The following is a 26,889-nucleotide window of genomic DNA, read 5'->3' on the forward strand; positions in this document are numbered from 1 at the left end:
ACTGTAATCAAGGTGTTGACTGGGATTATAGTCATCTCCTGGGGAAGGGGCTGCTTCTAACCTTACTCACATGATTGTTCGCAAGATTTAGCTCCTTGCCAAATGGGCCTCTTCAACATGGCAGCTTGCTTAATCAAAGCGTGCAAATTGATAAGGCAATAGAGAGCGAGTGTGAACAAGACAAAAGTCACAGGTTAGTCACCTGGTCTTGGAAATGACATCTCATCACTTTGCCATATTTGGTAGTTATAGCCCACATTCAGTGAGAGGAGATCACACAAGGGCTTGCGTATAGGTGGCAGGGATTGATCATATGGGAGCCCTCCAAACAGTTTTCTGTCTGTAGTTAGTTATATGTAAGAACATAAGGAAAAAGTATATCTAAATATATTTATTAGTTGCTACTCACATACCAGCCAAATAATGAAATGTGTTTATACTCTGTGAAGACTAAAGTAGAAATGATTTTTGAAAATGAATAAATATGTTCTGTGAGTTACCAGGAGAGAAAAAAAAAAGAATAAATGATATAGCCTTTTGCCAATCTGAAAAAGTTTTGTTTTAACTTGAGCACATGTAACTATAAATATTAAAACATTAATTCTTATTTCATCCTTGATGGTTGATTAAAATATAGCTTCCTTATATGGATAAAAAATTTTGGACTCAGTGTTTAGTAACCTGCTCAGGATCCCTCAGAAATTAGGGTCTAATGTTGTAAGAATACTTGGAGTCTTACGTAGGCTTGTTTTTCTAGTAAATCTCCATGTCCTCAGAATTCAGAGTGTTTTGTTATTTCTTATATGTGCTGTACAGAAAAGATCTTACAGTGATCACTGTAGAAAGAAGAGAATTTCTCAGCAGTTTCTAGGGAAGATTGTTTACTGAGGGTTAGAGCAGGAGGGGTGAAAAGTAGTTATGCTTGAGTATCTGCTTTCCTGTCTGGGAGGCAAAAGGGTATGATGCAAATACCACTGGGCTTGCATTTCTGAAGAGCTGGGCTGGGGAGTCCTAATCTGCTGTTTACTAGCTAAATTACCTTGAGCAAGTCACTTATGCCACTCTAGGATGGTTTTATCATGTATAAAATAAAGATGTCACCCTATCCACTTATGAAAGCCATCCATTAAATGCCTGCCTTATAGTTCTTACTGTATTAAACATTTTATATATGTATTAGCTCATTATTCCTCACATCAAGTCCCATGTGGCAGTTATTATTAACCTCATTCTAATAGAGAACTTCACAGCATTGTATGAAGACTTTTAAAGAAGCTAGTGAACATACAATTGGTTAATATACTCTACAACACCATTATAAATTAAAACAAATTTTTATATGGCATTTAGGAAATTGATAAGTAGATATATGGAGACAAAGGCTTATGAGATAACATGACATTTTAGAAAATTGATTTAGAGTTAATGAATATATATATATATATATATATATATATATATATATATATTTTTTTTTTTTTTTTTTTTTTTTTTTTTTTTGAGACAGAGTCTTACTCTGTTGCCCAGGCTGGAGTGCAGTGGCACAATCTGGGTTCACTGCAACCTCTGCCTCCCAGGTTCAAGCAATTCTCCTGTCTCAGCCTCCTGAGTAGCTGGGATTACAGGCATGCACCACCATGCCTGGCTAATTTTTGTAGTTTTAGTAGAGACAGGGTTTCACCATATTGGCCAGGCTGGTCTCAAACTCCTGACCTCAGGTGATCCTCCCTGCTCGGCCTCCGAAAGTGTTGGGATTACAGGCATGAGCCACTGCGCCCAGCAGAGTTAATGAACTTTTAATACATGAGCTTTATAATTCATAAATTACCATAAAATAATATTTGTTAAGTTTGCACCTTTGTATGATATCATGCCAAAAAAAAAGCTAAACGGACAGGCCTTGGAAAATGATAGGTGGTACTTAATGGTGAATACTCTGAAGCCATCTTAGTCCATTCTCGTAACTAGTGGGGAAAAAAACAATAATTCAAGCCTTTGTGCTATTAAAGTATATATATGTGTATGTATGTATAAATAAATTTGTATGCATTGTTATTGATTGCAGGGCAATTCATGATGTTAAAGCCACAGATCTGGGATTAGGTAAAGTAAGATTTAAGGCAGAAGTAGATTTTGATGGGCGAGTTGTTACAAGATCATATTTGGAAAAACAAGATTTTGACCAAATGTTACAAGTAAGTTTATTTGTTGTTTTCTTACATAACTGAGGGTTAGAAAAATGCTTTTAAGGTAAACAAAATGAAATTTTTTTTTATAGATCTTAAAGGCACTTTAGCTCTCAACTTCTTAGGTTCCAAAATTTAACAGAGACCTTTATATTTACTATGGAGGGGTTCAGAGGAGACAGCAAAAGAACAAACTTACTATTTCATGCTTGCTATGTGCATTTAATCTTTTTTTATCTAATTTACCCTCAACAACCCTGTTATTTCAACAATGAAATAACATTTTTATTTTAACATATATAGAAATTGAAAGACAGAGATTAAGTAATTTGCCTTAAGTTGTAGTGCCACAGAGATGGAGTCATATATGAATCGAGATCTGCCTGACTCCAGAATCCATTTTTTTATTAAGAATAGTTTAAAAGAGAATTTATAAAACAGAATATAATGAACAGCACAGATGTTACCACTTGCCCCTGTCAAATCTTAACATTTTGCTATAGTGTATTTGCTTAAGGTCTTAAAAAAAGAAATAATTACAAAAACAATTCAAGCCCCCATTTTCTCTTTCTATATCTCATTCTTCTTCTTCCATCCCTAGAATTAAACATTATGCTGAATTTGGTACCTGTCTTTTCCATTCAGATTTTTATACTTTTCAGCATTTTTTAGTGTAATATGTAACATTTTGAATGTTTAAAAATTGGTATAAATGGTATCCTACTGTATGCGTCTCTACAATTGGCATAACAACATATTTTTTAGATTCTTCCGTGTTAATTTATATATCTCTAGTCAGTTTACCTTCATTGTTATAGAGCATTTCATCCTATGAATATGCTGTAATTTATTTATTTTGTCTCCAGTTGATGGACATTTATATTACTGTTAGAAACAATGCCATGGCCGGGCGCGGTGGCTCACGTCTGTAATCCCAGCACTTTGGGAGGCCGAGGTGGGCGGATCACGAGGTCAAGAGATCGATCCCATCCTGGCCCACATGGTGAAAACCCGTATCTACTAAAAATACAAAAATTAGCTGGGTGTGGTGGTGCGTGCCTGTAGTCCCAGCTACTCGGCAGGCTGAGGCAGTAGAATCGCTTGAACCTGGGAGTTGGAGGTTGCAGTGAGCCTAGATCGTGCCACTGCACTCCAGCCTGGGCGACAGAGCGAGACTCCGTCTCAAAAAAAAAAAAAAAAGAAAGAAACAATGCCATGATTGCATTCTCACACGTTTCCTTGTTCACATATATGAAAATTTCTTTAGTATGGTGTATATATAGATAGCTAGATTTTAAATAGGTGGGCCATTGGGTGTACTTACCTTCAGCTTGCCTAGGTCTTACCAAGTTATTTTCCAAAGTGTGTCAATTTAACTTCCATCATTGTATATCAAGGTTCTTGCTTCCTATTCTTACATGATTGTATTAATAGAGTTATTAAATTTTTGCCAGTTTGATAGGTGTGAAATAGTATCTTGTTCTAATTTTATTTCTTGGAGCATTGAGGTTAATAAACATTGAAGTTCATTGACCAGTGGGATTTCCTCTACATTGCTCCCTGATTTTTCATGTTTTAAGTTCATTTGCATTACACTTATAGATTTGAAAGGTCTTTATTTTATTGCATTGTATTATTATTTTTTGAGACAGAGTCTCGCTCTGTCACCCAGGCTGGAGTGCAGTGGCGCGATCTTGGCTCACTGCAACCTCCGCCCCCCAGGTTCAAGCAATTATCTACCTCAGCCTCCCAAGTAGCTAGGATTACAGGTGCCTGTGACCACACCCGGTTAATTTTTCTATTTTTAGTAGAGATGGGGTTTCACCATCTTGGCCAGGCTGGTCTTGAACTCCTGGAAAGGTCTTTATTTTTAATATCCTGGATGCTAATTCTTACTTGTATATATGCAATTATTTTTTTCTAGTTTATAACTTCCTTTTCTTTTTGTTGTTATACAAAATATTTAATATGATTTTTAATTTTAATGTGAGATTTGTAATCTTTTCCTCTGTGCTTTTTATTCTTTTGCATGAAAAATCCTTCCATATCCCATTATCATAAAAATATTCTCTTCTCATCTAGTAGTTTTGTGGTTTGTTTTTTACCCTTATGTCTTTCATCCACTTTGAATTATTTTAATGGTCTGACATAGGGATTCAATTTTTTTTTCTTAAGGGAAAATATTCTAACACTATTTATTGACTATATTATTTCCCCAGTAATTTTGTAGTGCTACCTCTGTGTAGTATTATACTCAGTTTTCTTGATCCGAATTGTTTTGGAAATAGGTAATCCATTGCCTGTGGCTTAAAGTTTTAAAAATGTTCATTAAACTTAATGGCGTTTGTTATAGGTTTGTTTTTTTTTAAGGAGTCATAAGTGTACCACTATGGTTTTTTAAAAATTTATTTTCCTGTTTTCATTTTCTTTATAGGAAATTCAAGAAGTGAAAACTCCTGAAGAACTAGAGACCTTTATGCTTAAACATGGAGAAAATATTATTGATACTTTAGGAGCTGAAGTAGATAGACTTGAGAAGGAACTGAAAGTAAGATGTATTCATAAAAATAACATAATGATAATGGCAGCTATTTTTTTGAGTACTTACTCTACAGCAGACACTAAGTGCATCCATCACATGCATGCTTTAACCCACTCATAACTCCACAGTGTGTAGGTATTTATAAGCAAGAAAATGACTGGGTTAGATAAGTTGAATAATTTACCCAAGGAAATAGGGAAATTGTGATTTGAACCAGATTCTTTACTTTTAAACACTATTTTATGCAGCCTGCTTAGTTTCTAAAATAGTCAAAGGGGGTTTTTTTGTTTGTTAATAAATAAGCATTTTGAAAGTTCCTAGAGAAAGATGAAAAGGAAACTTTAGACTGTGGTCAAAAGTTAGAAAAAATAGAATGTATATCTTGCTTTTAGCCCATTTGAAATTATTTTCTGTTTTTGTTTGTTTCTATTCAGTTGGATGTTATTGTAATTTATTGATTATGTTACTGAAATATTACCTGATCCTGATCAGGTTGTCTTTTAAAATGTCTCAGTGTTCTCAAATTGCCATTTATTGACATTTGAATTCTGTTTGCAATGAATAAAAACTTGTAAATGATCTTTAATGTATATAATTTGTTGAAGGCAGTGCTTTTTCTGCAGTTGATATTGACCATTCTTTAATTTTGTAAAAAATTGAAGAAAAAAACTTCCATCTCTACTTTTCAAGTTTTCCTTTGAGAATCTGGATATCCGATTAGATTAATACAAGTACTTCAAATAAGATTTTGTTAATATTATAGTTCATGAGCTTTATCTGACATAATTTTTGAATTTTCTAGATGATATTTTGGTCTTAAGACGCTTTCATTCTTAAAAATTATTGCAGACCTCAAAGAGATTTTATTTATTTGAGTTATAGTTATTGATATTTACCAAATCATGCATGAAAGTAGATAAATTTTAAAATATTTATCATTTACTTTTAAAAACATACACCTATTTAATATAAATAACTTTTTTTTTTTTTTTAACTAAGAATCTCACTCTGTTGCCTAGGCTGGAGTGCAGTGGCACGATCTGGGCTCACTGTAACCTCCGTCTCCTGGGTTCAAGCAGTTCTCCTGCCTCTGCCTCCTGAGTAGCTGGGACTACAGGTGCCTGCCACCATGCCCAGCTAATTTTTGTATTTTTAGCAGAGATGAGGTTTCACCATGTTGGCCAGGCTGGTCTCGAACTCCTGACCTCAAGTGATCTGCCTGCCTTGGCCTCCCAAAGTGCTGTGAAGTGCTGGGATTACAGGAGTGAGCCACCCCACCCAGTCACATTTTTTTTTTTTTTTAACTGAGACGGAGTCTCGCACTGTCACCCGTGCTGGAGTGCAGTGGCACGATCTCAGCTCACCGCAGCCTCCGCCTTCCAGGTTCAAGGGATTCTCCTGCCTCAGCCTCCCAAGTAGCTGGGATAACAGGCACCCACCACCACGCCTGGCTAATTTTTGTTTTGTTTTGTACTTTTAGTAGAGACAGGGTTTCACTATGTTGGCCAGGCTGGTCTTGAACTCCTGACCTTGTGATGTGCCCACCTCAGCCTCCCAAAGTGCTGGGATTACAAGCGTGAGCCACCATGCCAAGCCCACATTTTTATATAAATAGTTATATTTTCCAAAATGAAAAAACGTAGTTAGAAGAGTGATATTTCACATTTTTGCAAAAGTCTCTTATGCCTGGCTTAGTAGAAGACAGCTACATTCCCATATCTGCTTCTGCCTTCAGTTGTAGTGATTTGATTGTTTGGCCGAAGAACATGAAGGAAAGGGAGAACTGTTCCTATAGCCTTTTGAGATAATTGTGATACTCTCTTTTGGTGTTATAACAGCTGGTAGAAACCAAATCAATGAATGAACTTCTCATATGCTACTTGTGAAGGTAGGGGGCACAGTCTACAAGACTGTCCTTCCTTCTAATACCAACTGTGAGTTCAGGAGGTTCCCTAGAGCACCTTCAGATTTAATAACTCACTAGGACTCTTAGAACTCACCGAATCATGTTATACCCATCATGGTTTGGTTTATTACAGGGAAAGGATACTGCTTGAAATCAGCCAAGGGCAGAAGAAGTGCATAGGGCAGGGTCCAGGAAAGTTCCAAACATGAAGTTTCAGTTGTCTTTTCTCTGTAATGCATAGTATTACTCTCCTGGCAATGAAGTGTGACAGTAGCATGACGTGTTGCCAACCGGGAAGCTCATCTGAGACTTGATGACCAGAGATTTTATTGAGGCTCCATAGTTGACTGCATAAGTAGCTGACCTTTTGTCTCTAGCCCTTCTAGAGGTAGAGCAGATACTGTGTGGCCAAAGGCCCCCATCATATATCACATTCTAAAGTTAATGCCCCCAGATAAACAAAGACACTCTTAGGCAGGACATGTCAAGGGCCTAGAAATTCCCTCCCGGTTATGGAGAACAAAAGCCAAACCTCCCTTTGGGTAAGATTAATTCTCTACTATACACTGTTATATTAAAATCTGTTGGTCTATTTTTATACTCTGAATGAATCTTTTACCCATGCATGATTCTATAACATTATGAATTAGTATTTTGGAAAATACTGGTTCACAGAAGTACTTAGATCTTTCAGATGTTGATACATTTCTAAATATGGGTACACTCTCAGGCTGATGGGGTGGATATGTTTTTCAACTTAAATTTCCACTTAAAAGCTTGCATTTTATCATTAGCAACAAATACTGTTGTTTTCCTTGAAATAAGACTCATTTTGTTCATTTTTTAGGAGATGCCTGCCAAATACCCAAATTTGAATAAACCGAGTTTGTTAATCTTTCAAATAAAAATGTACTCTAGATTAAAAAGCAGTTTATTCAGCTCACAACTTAAGCAATCAAAGAAGTACTTTTACGTACTTTCCATTTTGTCACAGTATTTTTAAAAGTGAACTCAAGGGTTTAGGTTTAATAAAATGGATATATTTGCTATTTCATGAAAGACTTTTTTAAATGAAACTGGCTTTTTTTTTAATGTCAAGTGTGGGACAGTAGAGACAATGACTACTGGTATTGTTTGATGCCATTTGTGTTGAATTGTGCAAAGGTGCAAGCAGTTTTACCCACCATTGTTTTTATGCCATCAGGAAATGTCAGCATAGTAAAAAAAGCAAAGAATGTCTTACAGTTACTGTGAAAATAGTTGTGACCTTAGAGTCCCCCTAAAAAGGTCTCAGGACCCCAGCAGTCCTTGAACCGCACTTTGCAAACAACTAATCTGTATAAAATGTGAGACAATGGTTATTTTTGTGCAAGGTAGCACAAGATTGAATAAACTTTGCTCTTTATTCTACTTGTTTTTATTTTGCTGGCAAGGAAAATAATGGACTAAATATTTGCTTTACATTTTAGTAGATACAAGAAATCAGAAGCCAGATTTAAGAATAATCACCAAATTGGTCCTTGTCACCTACATTTACTCTTACAACAATCAGACCTTATTGTTTTTGTTTAGCTAACTTTGTACTTTAACTAGAGGCTATTAAATCATTAATAATGTTTTTGAATTATGTAAGTCTTTCAAACCAGGAAGGTAAGTATAATCCATACATTCAGGTGGAAACGTCTTTGGCTAAGATAATAAAGCATGGCCGGGCGCGTGCGGTTGCTCATGCCTGTAATCCCAGCACTTTGGGAGGCCGAGGCGGGTGGATCACGAGGTCAGGAGATCGAGACCATCCTGGCTAAAATGACGAAACCCCGTCTCTACTAAAAATACAAAATATTAGCCGGGCGTGGTGGCAGGCACCTGTAGTCTCAGCTACTCCGGAGGCTGAGGCAGGAGAATGGCATGAACCCAGGAGGCAGAGCTTGCAGTGAGCCGAGTTCGAGCCACTGCACTCCAGCCTGGGTGACAAACCGAGACTCCGTCTCAAAAAAAAAAAAAATAAATAAATAAAATAAAATAAAGATAATAAAGCATAATTAATCTTAAGTCAAAGGACATGTTCATAGTTGAGGTGCCAAACCAAAAGGGAATGCATGAATGTAATTGTTTTTCTTAGTCATGAAAATAAGGTGATTTCCTTTTGAAAACTAAAACTTTGTTCACTGGCATATTCCTTCATTTTTAGTATCTCAGTTTAAATTGTAATTATTATTGGATTATTTTGGGAGGTCACACTCATTTATATAATTCTGTACCAGTGGAGTCATCTCTGTTGAGTAATGCCATTGAGTGTTGAAATAGATTATATTTTTGGCTTAAAATTCCAGAACTTGTGGCTGGGCGCAGTGGCTCACGCCTGTCATCCCAGCACTTTGGGAGGCCAAGGCGGGTGGATCACCTGAGGTCAGGAGTTCAAGACCAGCCTGACCAATATGGTGAAACCCCATCTCTACTAAAAATAGAAAAATTAGCTTGGTATGGTGGCGGGCCCTTCTAGTCCCAGCTACTTAGGAGTCTGAGACAGGAGAATTGCTTGAACCTGGGAGGTGGAGGTTGCAGTGAGCCGAGATTGTGCCACTGCACTTCAGCCTGGGTGACAGAGCAAGACTCCATCTCAAAAAAAAAAAAAAAAATTCTAGAACTTTTGTATAGTTATCTGTAAAGGTGTTAAAAATAATAGAGACTAATTCATAGATTCCCATATTACAAGATAGGAACTACAAAATTAATATAAAATATATCTTGTTATTATTTTGAAGTTCTTTGACCTGTTAAACATTTTTTGTCTTATCTCTGTATTTCAGAGTATAGATAAACCTTTCTCCTATCCCTCCATTAAGTTTTTTGTTTATGATGATTAATGGAAATTAGTTCATTGGGAGGCTGCTGTAGCATTCATAAATTCCTTATAAATAATGGCTGAATTAAATGCTCTGTTCTTTACTTTGCCTTTGTTTCTCCAGTTTCTCTTAAAGCATTGTTTTTAATGAATCTGCAGCATTGTAAAATAAATTATGTAATTTGGGCTTTAACTCTCTGCAAGTATTGGAATAAAATCCTCATGGTGTGTAAAATAGCCTAATCGGTATTGAGCAATGCAAGGAATATAGATTTTAAAGTATTTGTTGAATAAGTGGGTGAAAATTTTAAATTGGATACCAATTATTGATTTTCAGTTCTGTTCAATAAATATTAGTTTCTACTATACACATGATATCTTGTTAAGCAGTAAACATTGAATTTTAAGGATATTAATCATATTTATTCATTCAGCATATATTGTGTGCTTTGTATTGTGCACATATACTTTTACAAATTTGATTAGTTTACTCTGAAAACTTGATTTTAAAAAGCAGAGCAAATTTTTAGGCTTTTTTTTAAGATAAAGCTTTTATTAGTACACATTTATTTATATCATGCTTTTTAGACAGAATAATGTCAAACTTAATGAACAGGTAAATTTTTCAAGTCATATTAGGATAGGTAAGGGTTGATTGGAGTAGGAAGATACAATTTAGTTTCATTTCTGTTTGGAGAATTTTTTTTTAATTCTATATTGAGTTTAAGGAGTTCTAGAGACAGGGAATAGTTTTAAATAAGGAAAAAGTTGGGAACAAAAGTGTGCCCTCCTTGTTAAAAGGTCCCTGGTCATTCCCACATTAGGATCTAAGAGGAAAGTACCCCCAGGCACACCTGAGCGACACTAGTTATAAGAAAAATCCCTGTGTGCACTCAGTAGAGTGTTCTTGCTGGAGCAAAACTCCAATATTCTGCCAGATTTTGTTTTTATAACTGGATGCCTTTAATACAAGTAATATGCACATGGTCCTAGGATATTTTTAAGCTAGGAATCCTAACTGAATCATTTACAGGAACTTTTCTCCCCTTTTTATTTTTGCAATTTTTATCAATAATGCACAAAGTTTATAAAGTCAAATAGAACTGAAAAGATTATAACAGAAATAACTATCACTGCCTCACCTGCCTCAGTACTTATATTTTAAGAGATAACCATTTTTAATACTTTTAGTATGTCTTTATTTATTGCCATATTTCTGCATAAAAGTCTTATACTACTTCTCTTGATTTAACAGTATTTCCTCTACGATAGGTGTAGATTTAGTTCTTTTATACACTACTTTCTGTCCTCCCTTCTCACAGTATTAATATGTTACATTTTATTATATTTGTAATTCCCCTTAAGTTGATTTAGGTGCCCTTCCTTTATTTTATTTTATTTTTTATTTTTTTATTTTTTTGAGATGGAGTCCCGCTCTGTCGCCAGGCTGGAGTGCAGTGGCACAATCCCGGCTCACTGCAACCTCTGCCTCCCGGGTTCAAGCGATTCTCCTGCCTCAGCCTCCCGAGTAGCTAGGATTACAGGCATGCGCCACTATGCCCAGCTAATTTTTGTACTTTTTAATAGAGATGGGGTTTCATCATGTTGGCCAGGATGGTCTTGATCTCTTGACCTTGTGATCCGCCCGCCTCGGCCTCCCAGAGTGCTGGGATTACAGGCGTGAGCCACCGCGCCCGGCCAGGTGCCCTTCCTTTGTGCACTCACAGGAAAAAGAAACCCAAAATCTTTACTTTGCTCTGTGGTAGCCGAGTGTTGTAATTGCCTACTTAATTTACCTATATCACCTCACTACCAAACGTAAGTCCACTGAAGGCAAATACTGTTTGTTCCCAGCTCATTGTCATATACACTTCAATGCCTGGCACAGAGTAGGCATGTAATAGTAGACAGTATTGGTTGTTATTGAATTGAAGTTCCTTAAGCTAGCATATAAGATTTTTAACAACCTGATTTCTGCCTGTCTTTCCAGCCTCATTACCAACCCTACCCTTTTTGCAGCTTCTGTGCTAGCTATACCATAGTGCCAGTGCACACTTTGCAGGCTGTCTGACTTTGCTGATGTTGTGTTTTCTGTCTAGACACTCTTCATTATCTACCTGGAAGGCTCATCATATGCAGACCTACCTTAGATATTATATCCTCAGTGAAATTTTCTAGATCTCATGAGCAAAATGGCTGTCTCATTTTTGCTCCCAGTGTTATTATTTAGTACAGTGTAATAGGAGCTTGGGATCTGGAATCAGGCCTGGAGTCAGGCCTGGAATCAATCCTGGCTCCATCACTTACTAGCAGTGTGACTTCAGACAGGTTAGTTAATTTCTTCGTACTTCAGTTTTCCCTGATGTATGTATAAGATGGAAATAGTAATTAGGTTATGAGGCTTTTAAAACACACATACATGTGCTCATGTAACACAGTACTTGATACATGAGTGAGTAAGCAATAAATGTTAACTTTTTATTATTAGCTCTAATACTTTAACTTGTAGATGATTACTGCTATGCTGGTCTCCCTAGCTAAACTGAGTCACTCAGGGTCAGGAACAGAGTCTTATTTAATAATCATAGCTCTGTTTTCTAGCACAGGGCCCGGCCCAAGAATATATGGATTGTTGCTAAAGTATATAAAATGAGTGGTTGTCAATTTACTCTTTTTGATTATTATTGTTTTGCAGTGATTTTGTTTTCACCACACAAAAATGTGTATTTCCAGTGCTTCGCAATGCTTGGCATGTACTAGATCCTTAATGCACTTTTGTATTAACAAACACATGAACAAACTTAGGAATGTGATACTACTTATTGTACTGTTTATAGTATGTCTATTTACCTATTGATCTTACTTTTTTTCTTATGCAACTATTTCTCTCATTAGTATGCTATAGTGAAATAGTTTGCAAATGTTTTCATTGGCTCTAATGACCAAAAGGAATAAAAAGAAACAAGATTTTATTTTGCTACAAATAATGTGGTGGTGATTTTTCTTTCCAGAAACGAAATCCTGAAGTTCGACATGTAGATTTGGAGATACTGTGAGTTTGATGGAATGAATCACCTGGGTGGGGACCTTGGAAACAAGTTTGTCCGTCCACTCTACAAAGTTTCCTCCTCTCCTACACTGAAAGACTCAGTGCCATGCAGAAGCCTTTTTTTTAAGATGAAGGAAATATTTTATGTAAAGAGCAACTCAGCAGGACACAGAACTAAAACTACTACTTACATCTAACAGACACACTACAAGTTGAATCAATTTGAAAATCATGTTTTTATGCTTCCATAGGGAACATTTTGGTTATTTAAATTGTTCATAATGTCCCATATTTCACCTGTTCAGTGTATACTGTACTTTGCAATCATCTTTCCTTTTTTCACATTGGTAAAAATAAGTGGCATCCATAGGATCATGATTTTTAATTTGTTGCCTCTGAAGATTTCACTCCATCAAGATCTGCCAATCTTCAATATTCTGGCTAAATCTTGGTATGTGGTTTTTAAACAGTCACTCCGTTTCAAAGTCTGTCTTTCCTTATAGAATGTGGAAATTATTTCTCCATACCTTGTGATTTTGACCTGAGTGCTAAGAGAATCACTCTCCTTACCTAGTTATCTACAAATGTTCATTCCAGAAATGTTTAGTTACTGAATTGAATGAAGACATCTCAGTACACTCTTTTAGGTCATAGTAGTTGCCATTTTGTAAAATTTCTTTTTTCTTCTTTGCTTTTTTCCCCTTATTTGGTTTAATTTTTCTAATGTTAGGAGATATAGTCCTAGATATTTCCATGGGCCAGTGTGATGACTTTTTTTTAAATGAGGTTCAGTACCATAATGTTTATTTACTGGAAGATAATGCATTTATAAGCATTTTAAAATTCTGTAAAGTGGGTTAGAAATATTTATAATTTTACAGGCAGGACAGCATTTGACTTTTATTTAAAAGGCGGCACTACTTATGTAAATCTGAGCTGTGGGATATTTCTTGCTTTAAGAGAGAGACAGAATCTCTCACTGAAACTCATGGTCATGATTTTGTATAATATAGTTCATACTGTGTCTGTGAGTTTCTTCAGTTACAAATGGGCATTTAGTATAGTTATATTGACTATAACATGTAAGTAAATAGCTTTCTACTGACCCTAAGTTATCAAGGTGGAAAAAAAACATGCAATTCAGTAATTGAAAATGTGGTGAAAAGCTGCAGCTGTCATCATCAAAACAACTCATAACATACTTTAAAATGTTCAGGTAGCAGTGAGCATTGTTCATATGAGAATGGCGGCTGGGTGATCTCTTTGCTGAATTAATGAGTTCTTAACATGTGGACCCAACTGCCTGTGTGAGATCTGTGTCTTAAAACTTACTGGAATGGAAATCTATGAATTATTGCAAATTGTAATGCTGGAAACAAAAAATAAATCCTTGGTTAAAGGGTTTGTAATGGTGATTTTTGACCCAGAAATCTCATTTACTGGAAAATTGTGAGACTTTACGTTGGTGTATTTTTCTTTTTTTTTTTTTTACTATTACAGAGTATTTTGCATGCTGTACATTTTAAGTGAAATAACATTCCAGTTTTATTTTTAAGATAGAAAATTGTTATATATATATATAATTTGATACTCTATTCTTACAGTTTCAAATTCCTTATCCCTTCTTTACAAAAAAAACTTTTTTTTTACCTGTTATGATTTATTCTATACTTTTTTCTTCTTCCTTCCCCTTTCCCACTTGCCATTTATTACTTCATGTCATTGCCATATGAGAAAGTACCAAATTATATCCAGTTTCCTCCTAGTGATATTACTCTGAAAAATTTCACAAAGCCAGACAAGAATAATTACTCATTTTTTTTCCCAAGACGACCCTCAAAGTTAATGTGCAGCAGGTATTCCAAATGGTAATTTTTTTTTTTTAGGATTCCCTAATAAAAAAAAAAAAAATTCTGATATTTCTTTTTAAATCTGATTTTGGTTGAGGTCATACCATTCTTAAATAATAATTGAAGGTTTATGTTGCCATCTTTTCTAATTCTGTTTTGCACTGATAAACTTACATAAAGTTTGTTTATGTAAAATAAGACATAAAGGAGTACAACATATCAAGGAATTTGAGTATTTATGTGGAATCAGGAAATTTTTCTAGAGTCACTGAATTTTCAAATCAGAGAATTTGGGCTGGATATGGTGGCTTATGCCTGTAATCCCAGCACTTTGGGAGGCCGAGGCAGGAGGATTGCTTGAGCTCAGGAGGTCAAGACCAGCCTGGGCAACACAGCGAGACCTCATCTCTACTAAAAAAAGTTAGCCGGGTGTGGTGGTGCTCACCTGTGTTAGTCCATTCTCACACTGCTATAAAGAAATACCTGAGACTGAGTAATCAAAAAAAGAGCTTTAATTGGCTCATGGTTCTGCAGACTGAACAGGAAACATAGCAGCTTCTGCTTCTGGGGAGGCCTCGGGAAACTTCATTCATGGCAGAATACGAAGGGGAAGCAGTCATAGCCAGAGGAAGAGCAAGAGGCGGGGATTGGGGGTAGGTGCCACACTCTTGTAAACAACCAGATCTCATGAGAACTCACTATACAGTACCAAGAGGGGAAGGTGCTAAAGTATTCATGAGAACTCCACCCCCGTGATCCAGTCATCTCCCACCAGGCCCTACCTCCAACATGGGATTACAATTCGACATGAGATTTGGTGGGGACAAAGATCCAAAGCATATCAGCATCTGTAGTCACAGCTACTTGGGAGGCCGAGGTGGGAGGATCACTTGAGCCCCAGAGGTCGAGGCTGCAATGAGCTATGATCATGCCACTCCAGCCTGAATGACAGAGTGAGATCCTGTCTCAAAAAGAGAATTTGGGTCTCTTTCTCCAAAAATAAGGCTATATTTAGTTTTTCAGGTTTCTTGTTATTTTACCAAATTAATGTTTCTTACTTTGTATCTACTTTGGCATATAGCATTTGAGTATTAAAGCATATAAATCATTTTTAAGGAAAATATTCTCTGCAGGAGAATAATTACAAAAATAATACTGGACAGAGGAGGGGCAGTCAAGGGTCCATGATTGATTCCTTCTTGCCCAAAACTAAAATCTAGGATTTATCAAAGGTGAGGTATACAGTGGTCCCTGACTTATAATGGTTGCACTTAAGAATTTTTATGATGGGTTTATTGGCACATAACCCAATAATAAGTAAAAAGCATCTGTACCTACTTTTAGCTTTGGCTGAGAATGGATCTCTAATTCACTGTAAGTAGCAGTCCCCAAACTATATAAGGTGGCACAGTTTTCATCATGGCAGTGGGAGGATGAGGGGTGGAGTGTTTTTGTTTTTTTTGTTTTTTTTTGAGACAGAGTTTCGTTCTTGTTGCCCAGGCTGGAGTGCACTGGCACAATTGCAGCTCACCGCAACCTTCACCTCCCGATTCAAGTGATTCTCCTGCCTCCTGAGTAGCTGGGATTACAGGCATGCGCCACCACACCCGGCTAATTTTGTATTTCTGGTTTAGACAAGGTTTCTCCATGTTGGTCAGGCTGGTCTTGAACTGCCGACCTCAGGTGATCCGCCCTCCTCGGCTTCCCAAAGTGCTGGGATTACAGGTGTGAGCCACTGCTCCGGTGATCTGTTTTTAAGTGGAGTATCCTGGGGGCCTATAGTATCCAACTCCAAAGAGGTAAGTTCCTGAACATACACTAAAGAACCTGTGAGATAAGATCAGACGGAAAAATTTTCAAATTTTTTCAAAAGCAAAGGTAATCCCTGCATACATCCTCCTACACACACACACATAGTGCAAAGTGAATAACAAAATGTCATAAGGCTTGAGTTTTTGGTATATGGCTTTCAGTGTTACCTTATCTCATAATTTAGGTAATGATTTTTGCTAAAATGATAACCATCTAAAGAGTGCCTAAGTTTTAAGTCTCGTAACTTTTTGAGGAAGAATGCTGGGAACTACAGAAAACTGCATAGGCATTTAGAATTTGTATTATCTTCTTAGACTGCATTTGTCAAGCTTTGGCAGCATTTCTTTTAAATGTGATGAACCCCAATTTGCCAAACTGTCAGAAGTCAGTGAAGCAAAGAATCGAAGGTAAAATGTTGATTCAAAGATTGTCTCCCCTAAATCCTTCATTTCTTTCTCTGAAATGGAACTTTGGAAGCCATTTATATAGATTAGTCTGACAGCCTTTATATTTGCATGTAAGTTTACTTGCATCCTTAGACTTGGCTTTATGCAAAAAGAAAATTTTTATTCGTTATATTGTATTTCATCTGTCTGATTTCCCTGGCACATTAAGATGGTCCTGGTCCCTCAGGATACTTTTTCCCTTAATAAATGTCATATGTAAATAAAGGCAACTCATTTATTAGTTTGGGATTTTTTTTCCCTTGAGAAATAAATGTTTGTTGAACATAAATTCTTCTTTACCTCATGTGCTAAGAACTAAACTATATAATCTGATATATTTTTTATGCCTATGTTTTTGAACAGAATTTGTTACTCATTCAGTGTGCCTGTTAGTTTTTTTTTTTTTTTTTTTTTGAGACGGAGTCTCGATCTGTCGCCCAGGCTGGAGATCCGCTCACTGCAAGCTCCGCCTCCCAGGTTCACGCCATTCTCCTGCCTCAGCCTCCCGAGTAGCTGGGACTACAGGCTCCCGCCACCACGCCCAGCTAATTTTTTGTATTTTTAGTAGAGACGGGGTTTCACCATGTTAGCCAGGATGGTCTCGATCTCCTGACCTCGTGATCCACCCGCCTCTGCCTCCCAAAGTGTTGGGATTACAGGCGTGAGCCACCGTGCCCGGCCGCCTGTTAGTTTTTAGGATTTCTTTTTGGTCGTACAAAACCTAACTATAATAACTCTTAATCATTTTATAATCGGTTTCACTTTAAAGAGAACTATTCATTTTTTGGTTTTATAAAACCAAACTATAATAACTTAATCATTTTATAATCGGTTTCAGTTTAAAAAGAACTATTAATATACTGTTTATTAACATATTAACATTAATATGTTTGGTAAAACAAAATTTGGAAAGTTATATTCCTTAGTGATATATATTTTCAGTACATTTTGACATAACTAGATTATTTAACATTTTAATTAGGCTGTTTTGTTTCAGATGTGTCTACAAGAGTATGTTTAGAGAAAAAAATACAAAACATGGAAACATCAAAACCCTCAACCTAAGGCCAGCCTGCACTGTGATCTAAATTGAACTCTATACTAATCCTGTGGGAATTCCAACTGTATTTTCTTTTTCATGAGAAACTAAACCAAAGTAATTTGGTATTTTGAGAGGGTAAAATTCCCTCCCAAAATTCAAAACCTATTGAAAGTAGAACCACTACAGTTTATGATTTGCACAGGAAAATAAAGAATTGTATGTGTCATTAGGGCCCAAAATACAACCCTTTTAAAAGGTTTTTAAACGGCCGGGCGCGGTGGCTCACGCCTGTATTCCCAGCACTTTGGGAGGCCGAGGTGGGCGGATCACGAGGTCAGGAGATCGAGACCATCCTGGCTAACACGGTGAAACCCCGTCTCCACTAAAAATACAAAAAATTAGCAGGGCGTGGTGGCAGGCACCTGTAGTCCCAGCTACTGGGGAGGCTGAGGCAGGAGAATAGCAAGAACCCGGGAGGCAGAGCTTGCAGTGAGCCGAGATTGTGCCACTGAACTCCAGCCTGGGAGACAGCAAGACTCTGTCTCAAAAAAAAAAAAAAAAAAAAAAAAAGTTTTTAAATAGACTAAAATATATACTTGCTAGTATTATAACAGCTATTAACAGAATATTTTGAGGTCTGTTTGCCAGGTACTGTTTTACATGTACACTTTTTTGTTGTTGTTTTTGAGACGGAGTCTCGCTGTGTCGCCCAGGCTGGGGTGCAGTGGCGCGATCTCGGCTCAGTGCAAGCTCCGCCTCCCGGGTTCACGCCATTCTCCTGCCTCAGCCTCCCAAGTACCTAGGACTACAGGCGCCCGCCACCATGCCCAGCTGATTTTTTTTGTATTTTTAGTAGAGACGGGGTTTCACCGTGTTAGCCAGGATGGTCTCGATCTCCTGACCTCGTGATCTGCCAGCCTCCGCCTCCCAAAGTGCTGGGATTACAGGCATGAGCCACCATGCCTGTACATGCCTACATGTACACATTTAATCCCCACAAAGAGCCAGTGAAATGTGGTCTGTAATTCACATTTTTGCAGATGAGGAAACAGATACAGTAGTTAATATTAGTGTCTGAGACTACTCATCCAATAAAAGGCAGAGTCAGGATTTGAACTCACAAGGAAGCATTCTGCTAAACAGAAAAGCCCAAGAGAAGTAACACTGTATAAAATTAGAAAGGAAATATTCATTATATTGTTATACAGTAACCTAATTTATATTCAGTAGTCAGAACAATTAGCTAAATCTAACTCAGACTGCTTGGGACAGGGGGATGACGGTTGGGGTAGGGCGTGGATCAATGAGTTGTTTTTTTTTGCGGGGCGGGGGGCGGTGTTTGGGTTTTTTTGGTTTGTTTGTTTTCTTTTGAGACGGAGTCTCGCTCTGTCGCCCAGGCTGGAGTGCAGTGGCGCGATCTCGGCTCACTGCAACCTCCGCCTCCTGGGTTCAAGCCATTCTCCTGCCTCAGCCTCCCGAGTAGCTGAGACTACAGGTGTGTGCCACCACACCCAGCTAATTTTTGTATTTTTAGTAGAAACAGCGTTTCACCATGTTGGCCAGGATGATCTCGATCTCTTGACTTGATGATCCACCCCCTCGGCCTCCCAAAGTGTTGGGATTATAGGAGTGAGCCACCGTGCCCGGCCCTCATTAAGGTTTTTATGGACGCTGAGGTCTTGTCTGTTTCGTTAGGCTATTTTTTATTTATTTATTTATTTATTTTTTTTTTTTTGAGATGGAGTCTGGCTGTCTTCCAGGCTGGATTGCAATGGCGCGATCTTGGCTCACTGCAACCTTTGCCTCCCAGGTTCAAGCGATTCTCTTGCCTCAGCCCCCCAAGTAGCTGAGACTACAGGCACCTGCCACCTTGACCAGATAATTTTTGTATTTTTGGTAGAGATGGGGTTTCACCTTATTGGCCAGGCTGGTCACGAACTCCTGACCTTGTGATCTGCCCACCTCGGCCTCCCAAAGTGCTGGGATTACAGGCGTGAGCCACCGAGCCGGCCTATTTTTTAAATGATATTTATTTTTAACTATTACTACCACTGGATAAACATATCCAGAAGACAATATTTTGTTCAAATGTCAGTCATTGATGTGAACCACGTAGGAAAGAAATTCAGGGAGAGGTGTGAAAATTAGAATTAGTCAGAAGTTTTAAAGATATAGTTATCCCGGCCAGGCACGGTGGCTCACGCCTGTAATCCCAGCACTTTGGGAGGCTGAGGCGGGTGGATCACACGGTCAGGAGTTCAAGACCAGCCTGGCCAACATGGTGAAACCCTGTCTCTATTGAAAATACAAAAATTAGCCCAGCATGGTGGCGGGCACCTGTAGTCCCAGCTACTTGGGAGACTGAGGCAGGAGAATTGCTTGAACCTGGGAGGCGGAGGTTGCAGTGAGCCAAGATCATGCCACTGCACTCCAGCCTGGGCGACAGAGCAAGATCTGTCTCAAAAAAAAAAATTTATATATATAGTCATCTCTTGGTATCTGTGGAAATACCCTGTGGGGATATCCCTGGGATACCAAAATTCAAGGATGTTGAAGTTTCCTATATAAAATGGCATATTTGTATATAACCTACACACATCCTCAAGTATACTTTAAATAATCTCTATTATAATACCTAACACATTGTAAATGTTATGTAAGTAGTTGTCATACTGTATTTAGGAGACAATGACAAGGAAAAAAGCCTGTTCACGTTTAGCACAGACACAATTTTTTATTTATTGAGTATTTTCGATACGTTGGTTGAATCAGAGATGCGAACCCATGGATACGAAAATCTGACTATATTTTTAAATTGTGCTTGAATAGATAAAACATTCACATGATTCTAAATTCAGAATGCTCAAACAGATTTATAGGAAACATTCTTTCTCTCAACCTTGCTCACAGCTATCCATTTTCTTTTCCCAGAGGCAACTAATGTTATAAGCTTGTGATATATCCTTATAGAGATATTTGATGTATATATTCACATATATACATGTTTATTATATATATTTCCCCTGTTCTACAAAGATGATAAAATAGTATATATATTAATGAACCTTCTCATAATGTAAGTACACAGCCATTTTCCAGAGTTGTGTTTACTGAAAATTACTACATCAACAGGACATAACACATAATGTGCTTTACCATATGGTAGCCACTAGTGACATGGGGATATTTAAATTTAAATTAATTACATAAAATAAATTCAGTTCCTCAGTTGCATTAGCCACATTTTCATGTGCTCAGTAGCCACATGTGGCCAGTGACTGTGTTGTACAATTCAGATATAGAACATTTTCATTATCACAGCAAGTTGTTTTGGACAGTCCTAATATGGTGGATTAAAGTAATCCTAGTCTCTCTTTAATATTTGAGAGTGTCTTTACAGTGTACAGCATAAGAGTGCCTGGTTTCTGTTGTTGGAGGCAGGAGGATAAAATTCTGGCTTAGCTCTTAGAAATGTATCAATACAAATAGCTCTTGGGCTATAACTTAAGGCTACCAACTGGTAAGTGTTACTTTCAGCAAATAAATTTCTCATGTTCAAAATGAAGAGTTTGAATTTGACTTCCTCTCATTCAAATGCATAATATACATTCTGAACATTAGGGAACAATTGAATCATACAAAAGTGTTCTTGAACCATCAAAATTTCTTACCCAAGTTCATAAATTATGTTTCTGAATGTTCATGTCAGTTTATCTTGTGGCCCAGCAAAGGGCTAAATAAGTATGATACCATTCATCACATAAAGGTCTCAGAGAACAAAATATGGGATTGGTGGGCCCAGGTGGTGAGAAAGGAAGGAGTTGCGGGTTTATCACACTTTATACAAGAAGTAAGTTCCTGGGCCAGGCGCGGTGGTTTACACCTGTAATCCCAGCACTTTGAGAGGCCAAGGAGGGCGGATCACGAGGTCAGGAGATGGAGACCATCCTGGCTAACACGGTGAAACCCCGTCTCTGGTAAAAACACAAAAAATTAGCCGGGCGTGGTGGCACGTGCCTGCAGTCCCAGCTACTCAGGAGGCTGAGGCAGGAGAATCGCTTGAACCCAGCAGGCGGAGGTTGCAGTGAGCCGAGATTGCGCCACTGCACTCCAGCCTGGGTGACAGAGCGAGGCTCCGTCTCAAAAAAAAAAAAAAAAGAAAGAAAAATAAGTTCCTGGACATTGTGTAAATTAAATATTTCTAAATCTATAAATTAAATATTTCTAAATCTATTTTTAGATGCACTAGAAGAGTTCACAATTTAAAGAAATCCTCCTGTAATGTATGATTATTTATATTTTGTTAAATCCTATTTAAAAGAGATTTTATAAGATGACTTCTAGATTACTCCTGGAACTATGGCAGATCATGTTGAGGTTAAAAGAGCATTAAGGGATTGGATGATAGATGGTCTAATATCATCACTGCTTGAAGTTCCAAGGAATTACTCAAACTGATCCAATTTCCTTATGACATTTTCTATATGGATTGACAGCCCATGTCAATTATTGAATATTTACTATATACAAGCTATGATATACTAGATGCCCGTGAGGCCCTTCTTAGAAGAAGGAAGATGATGGCAGTGTTGTCAACCAGATAATCATTCCTGATGGTCAAGGTGGGGGATGTCCCGTCCTGATAATCCCCTCATCCAATAACCAGGACAGAATTACTCATGGCTGTGGTATCTTGTCCTTCCTGAGGTCAATAAGGCCTGCCTTGATCAGAACCAAGCAATTGTTTATCCATCATGGGCCAGTGATTTCAAGTATAGAAGATGCTGGGACCCTAATTTGAGTCCACTTAATGGGAGGTATCCTGGGAAATGCCCATAATTAATTTGTGTTTGCTTTTCCAGGTTTCCTTAAGCTTCCTAAGTTTCATAATGTATAAGATATTTACAGAATTCCTAAATTTTTGTAAACATGCTGTTATTTCTCCCATCTTAGAAAAACAGACTAAAACATCACAACCACGCCCCCACACACAAAATGCGTAAAAACAAAAAAATCCTTCACTTAGTTTCTTATTTCTTTACTTCCCTTCACAGCAAAACTCAAAGGAGTTGTCTATATTTGCTGCCTCTCTTTCCTTTTCTCTGAAACCCATTCCAATCAGGCTTTTGTCACTCTCTCCACTAACCCTGTCCTTGACTTCCATACCACTAAATACAATTGTCAATCTTAGGTTGTCATCTTACTTGATCTGTCAGCAGCATTTGACACAGTGAATCTGGCTTCCAGAATTCTACTTTCTGGGTTCTCCACCAACCTCTGTGGCCACTCCTTTTCAGTCTTTTTTTTTTTTTTTTTTTTTTTTTGTTGAGAGAGTCTCGCTCTGTTGCCAGGCTGGCTACAGTGCAGTGGCATAATCTTGGCTCACTGCAACCTCCACCTCCCGAGTTCAAGCGATTCTTCCACCTTAGCCTCCCTGGTAGCTGGGACTACAGGTGTGCATCACTTAATTTTTGTATTTTTAGTAGAGACGGGGTTTCACCATGTTGGCCAGGCTGGTCTCGAACTCCTGGCCTCAAGTGATCTATCTGCCTCGGCCTCCCAAAGTGCTCAGATTACAGGTGTGAGCCACCATGCCCGGCCTTCAGTCTCTTTTTGTAGGTTTCTCCTCATTTCCATTACCTCCAAACATTGGCATATCCCAGGACTATGTCTTTTCTTTGTCTATATTCATTCACTGAGTGATTCAGTCCCATGGCTTTCCAAAAAAAAAAAAACATTTATTGAAACCTTGATTCTCTACCTTGAATCCCAGACTCAAATGTCCAGTTGCCTACTTGACATCTCCAGGTTTGTGAGATAGGCATTCCAATATGCTGCCGATGGGAGTGTGAAGTAGGCCTAGCTATGTGGGGGGTACTATAGCCGAAGATGTTAAATGAGTCTGGAAAAATATGTCTGGGCATGGTGACCCATGCCTGCAGGTCTAGCACTTTGGGAGGAGGTGGTGGGTGGATTGTTTGCTTGCGGCCAGAAGTTACCAGCCTGGTCAATATAGCAACGCTTTGTCTCAAAAAAAAAAAAAAAAAAAAAAAGAGTCTGGAAAATAGCCATGTCCTTTGACCTATTTATTCCACTTCTAGAAATACAGCCTAATAATACAGTCTTTGGAGGCATTTTTGGCAGGATATTTAATACAGTAAAATGCTTATGATAGATAGAGAAAAATGTAAAAATATACATCTTGGGCTGAGCGTGGTGGCTCACGCCTGTCATCCCAGAACTTTGGGAGGCCAAGGCAGGAGGATTGCTTGAGCCCGGGAGTTCGAGACCAGCCTGGCCAACATGGTGAAACCCGGCCTCTAAGACAAAGACATACAAAAATCAGCCGGGCGTGGTGGCACGCACCTGTAGTCCCAACTATTTGGGAGGCTGGGGTGGGAGGATCACTTGAGGTGGGAGGAGGTGGAGGTTGCAGTGAGCCAAGATGATGCCACTGCACTCCACCCTGAACAACAGAGGAAGACCCTGTCTGAAAAAGAAAAGAAAAGAATATACATCTTGCAGTTCAAGTTGTTACTGCTAAGGTTTGAGATTGGAGTGGGACATAAAAAACATTTTTATGAACAGGTATTACTTTTTTAAATTTTAAAAAGTGCTTAAGATTCATTTTCTAGTGAAAAAACAGGATACATAACTATATTCAGAATAATTTCAAAGTTGTGTACATAGAGAAAGGATTGAAAGCAAATACACTATTAACAATTTCATACGTGGATAATTTTTATCTTCTCTCTTTTTCTGTCATTTACAGATTTTCCACAATGAGTTTGTCTTTTATAATAAAAAGTTAATTTAAAAGGACAAGCAATTCAGGCTGGGCGCAGTGGCACACACCTGTAATCCCAGAACTTTGGGAGGCTGAGGTGGGTGGATCACCTGTGGTGAAGAGTTCAAGACCAGCCTGGCCAACATGGTGAAACCCCATCTCTACTAAAAATACAAAAATTAGCCGGGCATGGTGGTGGACACCTGTAATCCCAACTACTCGGGAGGCTGAGGCAGGAGAATCACTTGAACCCAGGAGGCGGAGATTGCAGTGAGCTGAGATCACACCACTGCACTCCAGCCTGGGCGACACGGCGAGACTCTATGTCAAAAGAAAAGAAAAGAAAAGAAAAGAAAAGAAAAGGACAAGCAATTCTTCAATCTTGGGATAAATGAAGACATTGATTGGAGTGTCATAAAACTAAGATGTGAGAATTTTTGAATTAGAATTTTAATTTTAATACCTACTTTCAAGAGGAGGTAAGAACCAAAAGTTTTAAAGGGAAAAGACTGAAGATGAGCATGTTTCTTTGAATTATAAAACTTGGGTTTAATACCACTAGACTCTAAATTTCCAACCCTAGTAATATGGAATATGCTGTTGGAACTCAACGTGGTCGTTTGCTTAACTTTTTGTTGATATAATCTGAAATGATATTAAATCTCACTGTGGAGCATCATAAAAACAACCTATTTGTCAGAGAAGAGTAGGACAATTGTCCTATTAAATTGGAAAACTGAAAAAGAAAATTTAAAAACAGACTTCCATTATTGCATTCATATGACAAATACTTTTTGAGTGTCTGTGTCACTGGGCACTGTACTACCTTGTAACTACCTAGGCAGTCGGGGTAGGGAATCCTCCTTGGGGAAGTACCCTTTGTAAGGCCAGGCACAGAGAAAAAGGAGGGTAAAGAGTGTGCTAGGTAATAGGTAGAGGACATGTACAAATAGATGGCTACTGATTTTCAGTTGATAACTATGTCTAATTAGGTGAATACCATCTTATTCTAGCAAGAGTATCAGAGTGCGTTCATTCCTGAGGACCCTTTCCCTGGTGTTGAAACAAATTATCTCTAGCCTTCAGTACGAAATAAATTCCCTTTTGCTACATTTCTGCCAAATCTGAAGAATCACAATGGATGAGTCTCATGCCTATTTCAAAATGGTATAGAGTCTCTGGGGGTTCAGTATATTTAACTTGTTTCCTCATAAGTGTGACTTCAAGATATTGTTTCATGCTGGAATTGTAAATTGTGATTTATCCATTCTCTGTAGAAATATTAAATAAATCTGAAAAAACTCCAAAACCCATTTTTATTGTAATTTTTCTTACTGCATTTTAGATACAGCTTTAAGATTATTTGCTAAGAGATGAAAGGAAAGGTGGGTGTTAAACTCAGATTGAAGCAATTTAAAATGTTACAGGCAGTTATATTTGATATAGAACTTCTCAGTTTATTATAAATGGAATAAGGTTGGATCTCTAAAAGGAAAAAATATATGTTGCAGCTGTTTCCATCTTATTTGTTCCATGGGACTGTCTTACGTCCCCAGCCCTGCAAGATTCCTCCAGGGGTCTCCAGCTACCTCCACTCCTCTGAGGACTTTCTGTGTACAGAAGACAGGCCCAATGTTGCAACACGACCTCCTATCGAGGCTTGGCAGTGTTTTCAGATTAGAGTTCAATTTTCTTTACTTAATTTCTTGATACCTATCTCCAATCCAAATAAACTTAGCTACAATATTTTTGAAGATTTACATTCCTAAACACTTAATTCCAGAATTAATTTTTCCTTAATAAAATAAGCTTCACTATTTTTTAAATTTTTATTTTTAATCAACTCATAATTGTACACATTCATGGGGTACTATATGATGTTTCAATACATGTATACATTGTGTAATGATCAAATCAGGGTAATTACCTTACCCATCACCTCAAACATTTATTGTTTCTTGGTGGTGAGAACATTCAAAATCCTCTTCTAGCGATTTTGAAACATACATAGCTAACTGTAGTTACCCTACTTGCAATAGGACACCAGAACTTATTCCTCCTAACTGTAACTTTGCATCTGTTGGCCAATTTCTCCCCATCTCCTCCTCTCCTCTACCTCCCACCCTTCTCCCCCAGCCTCTGATAACCAAGGTTCTACTCTCTACTGCTATGAAATCAAGTTTTTTAGATTCCACATACGAATGACATCATGTGGTATTTGTCTTTCTCTATCTGGCTTATTACGCTTAACATCATGTCGTCTAGTTTCATCCATGTTGTTGCAAATGACAGCATTTCCTGTTTTGTTATGGTGAAATAGTACTCTATTGTGCATATACACCACATTTTATCTCTTCATCTGATGATGGGTACTTAAGCTGATTCCTTACCTTAGCTATTGTGAATAGTGGTGCAATAAACAGG

General features: G+C 37.7%; 1 protein-coding gene across 1 annotated transcript in view; it reads left to right on the forward strand.

Annotated features, from left to right (window-relative positions):
• SLC30A9 (solute carrier family 30 member 9) overlaps positions 1-16,870 on the forward strand; it is a 99,932-nt gene extending 83,062 nt beyond the window's left edge. The window contains exons 16-18 of the mRNA NM_006345.4: positions 2,066-2,195; positions 4,621-4,734; positions 12,491-16,870. Of these exons, the coding sequence (NP_006336.3) occupies positions 2,066-2,195; positions 4,621-4,734; positions 12,491-12,535 (289 nt within the window). The 3' untranslated portion in view covers positions 12,536-16,870. The remainder of the gene's footprint in view (positions 1-2,065; positions 2,196-4,620; positions 4,735-12,490) is intronic.
• Positions 16,871-26,889: the final 10,019 nt, after the last annotated feature.

Source organism: Homo sapiens, chromosome 4, assembly GCF_000001405.40.
Source record: "Homo sapiens chromosome 4, GRCh38.p14 Primary Assembly".
Classification (NCBI taxonomy): Eukaryota; Metazoa; Chordata; class Mammalia; order Primates; family Hominidae; genus Homo; species Homo sapiens.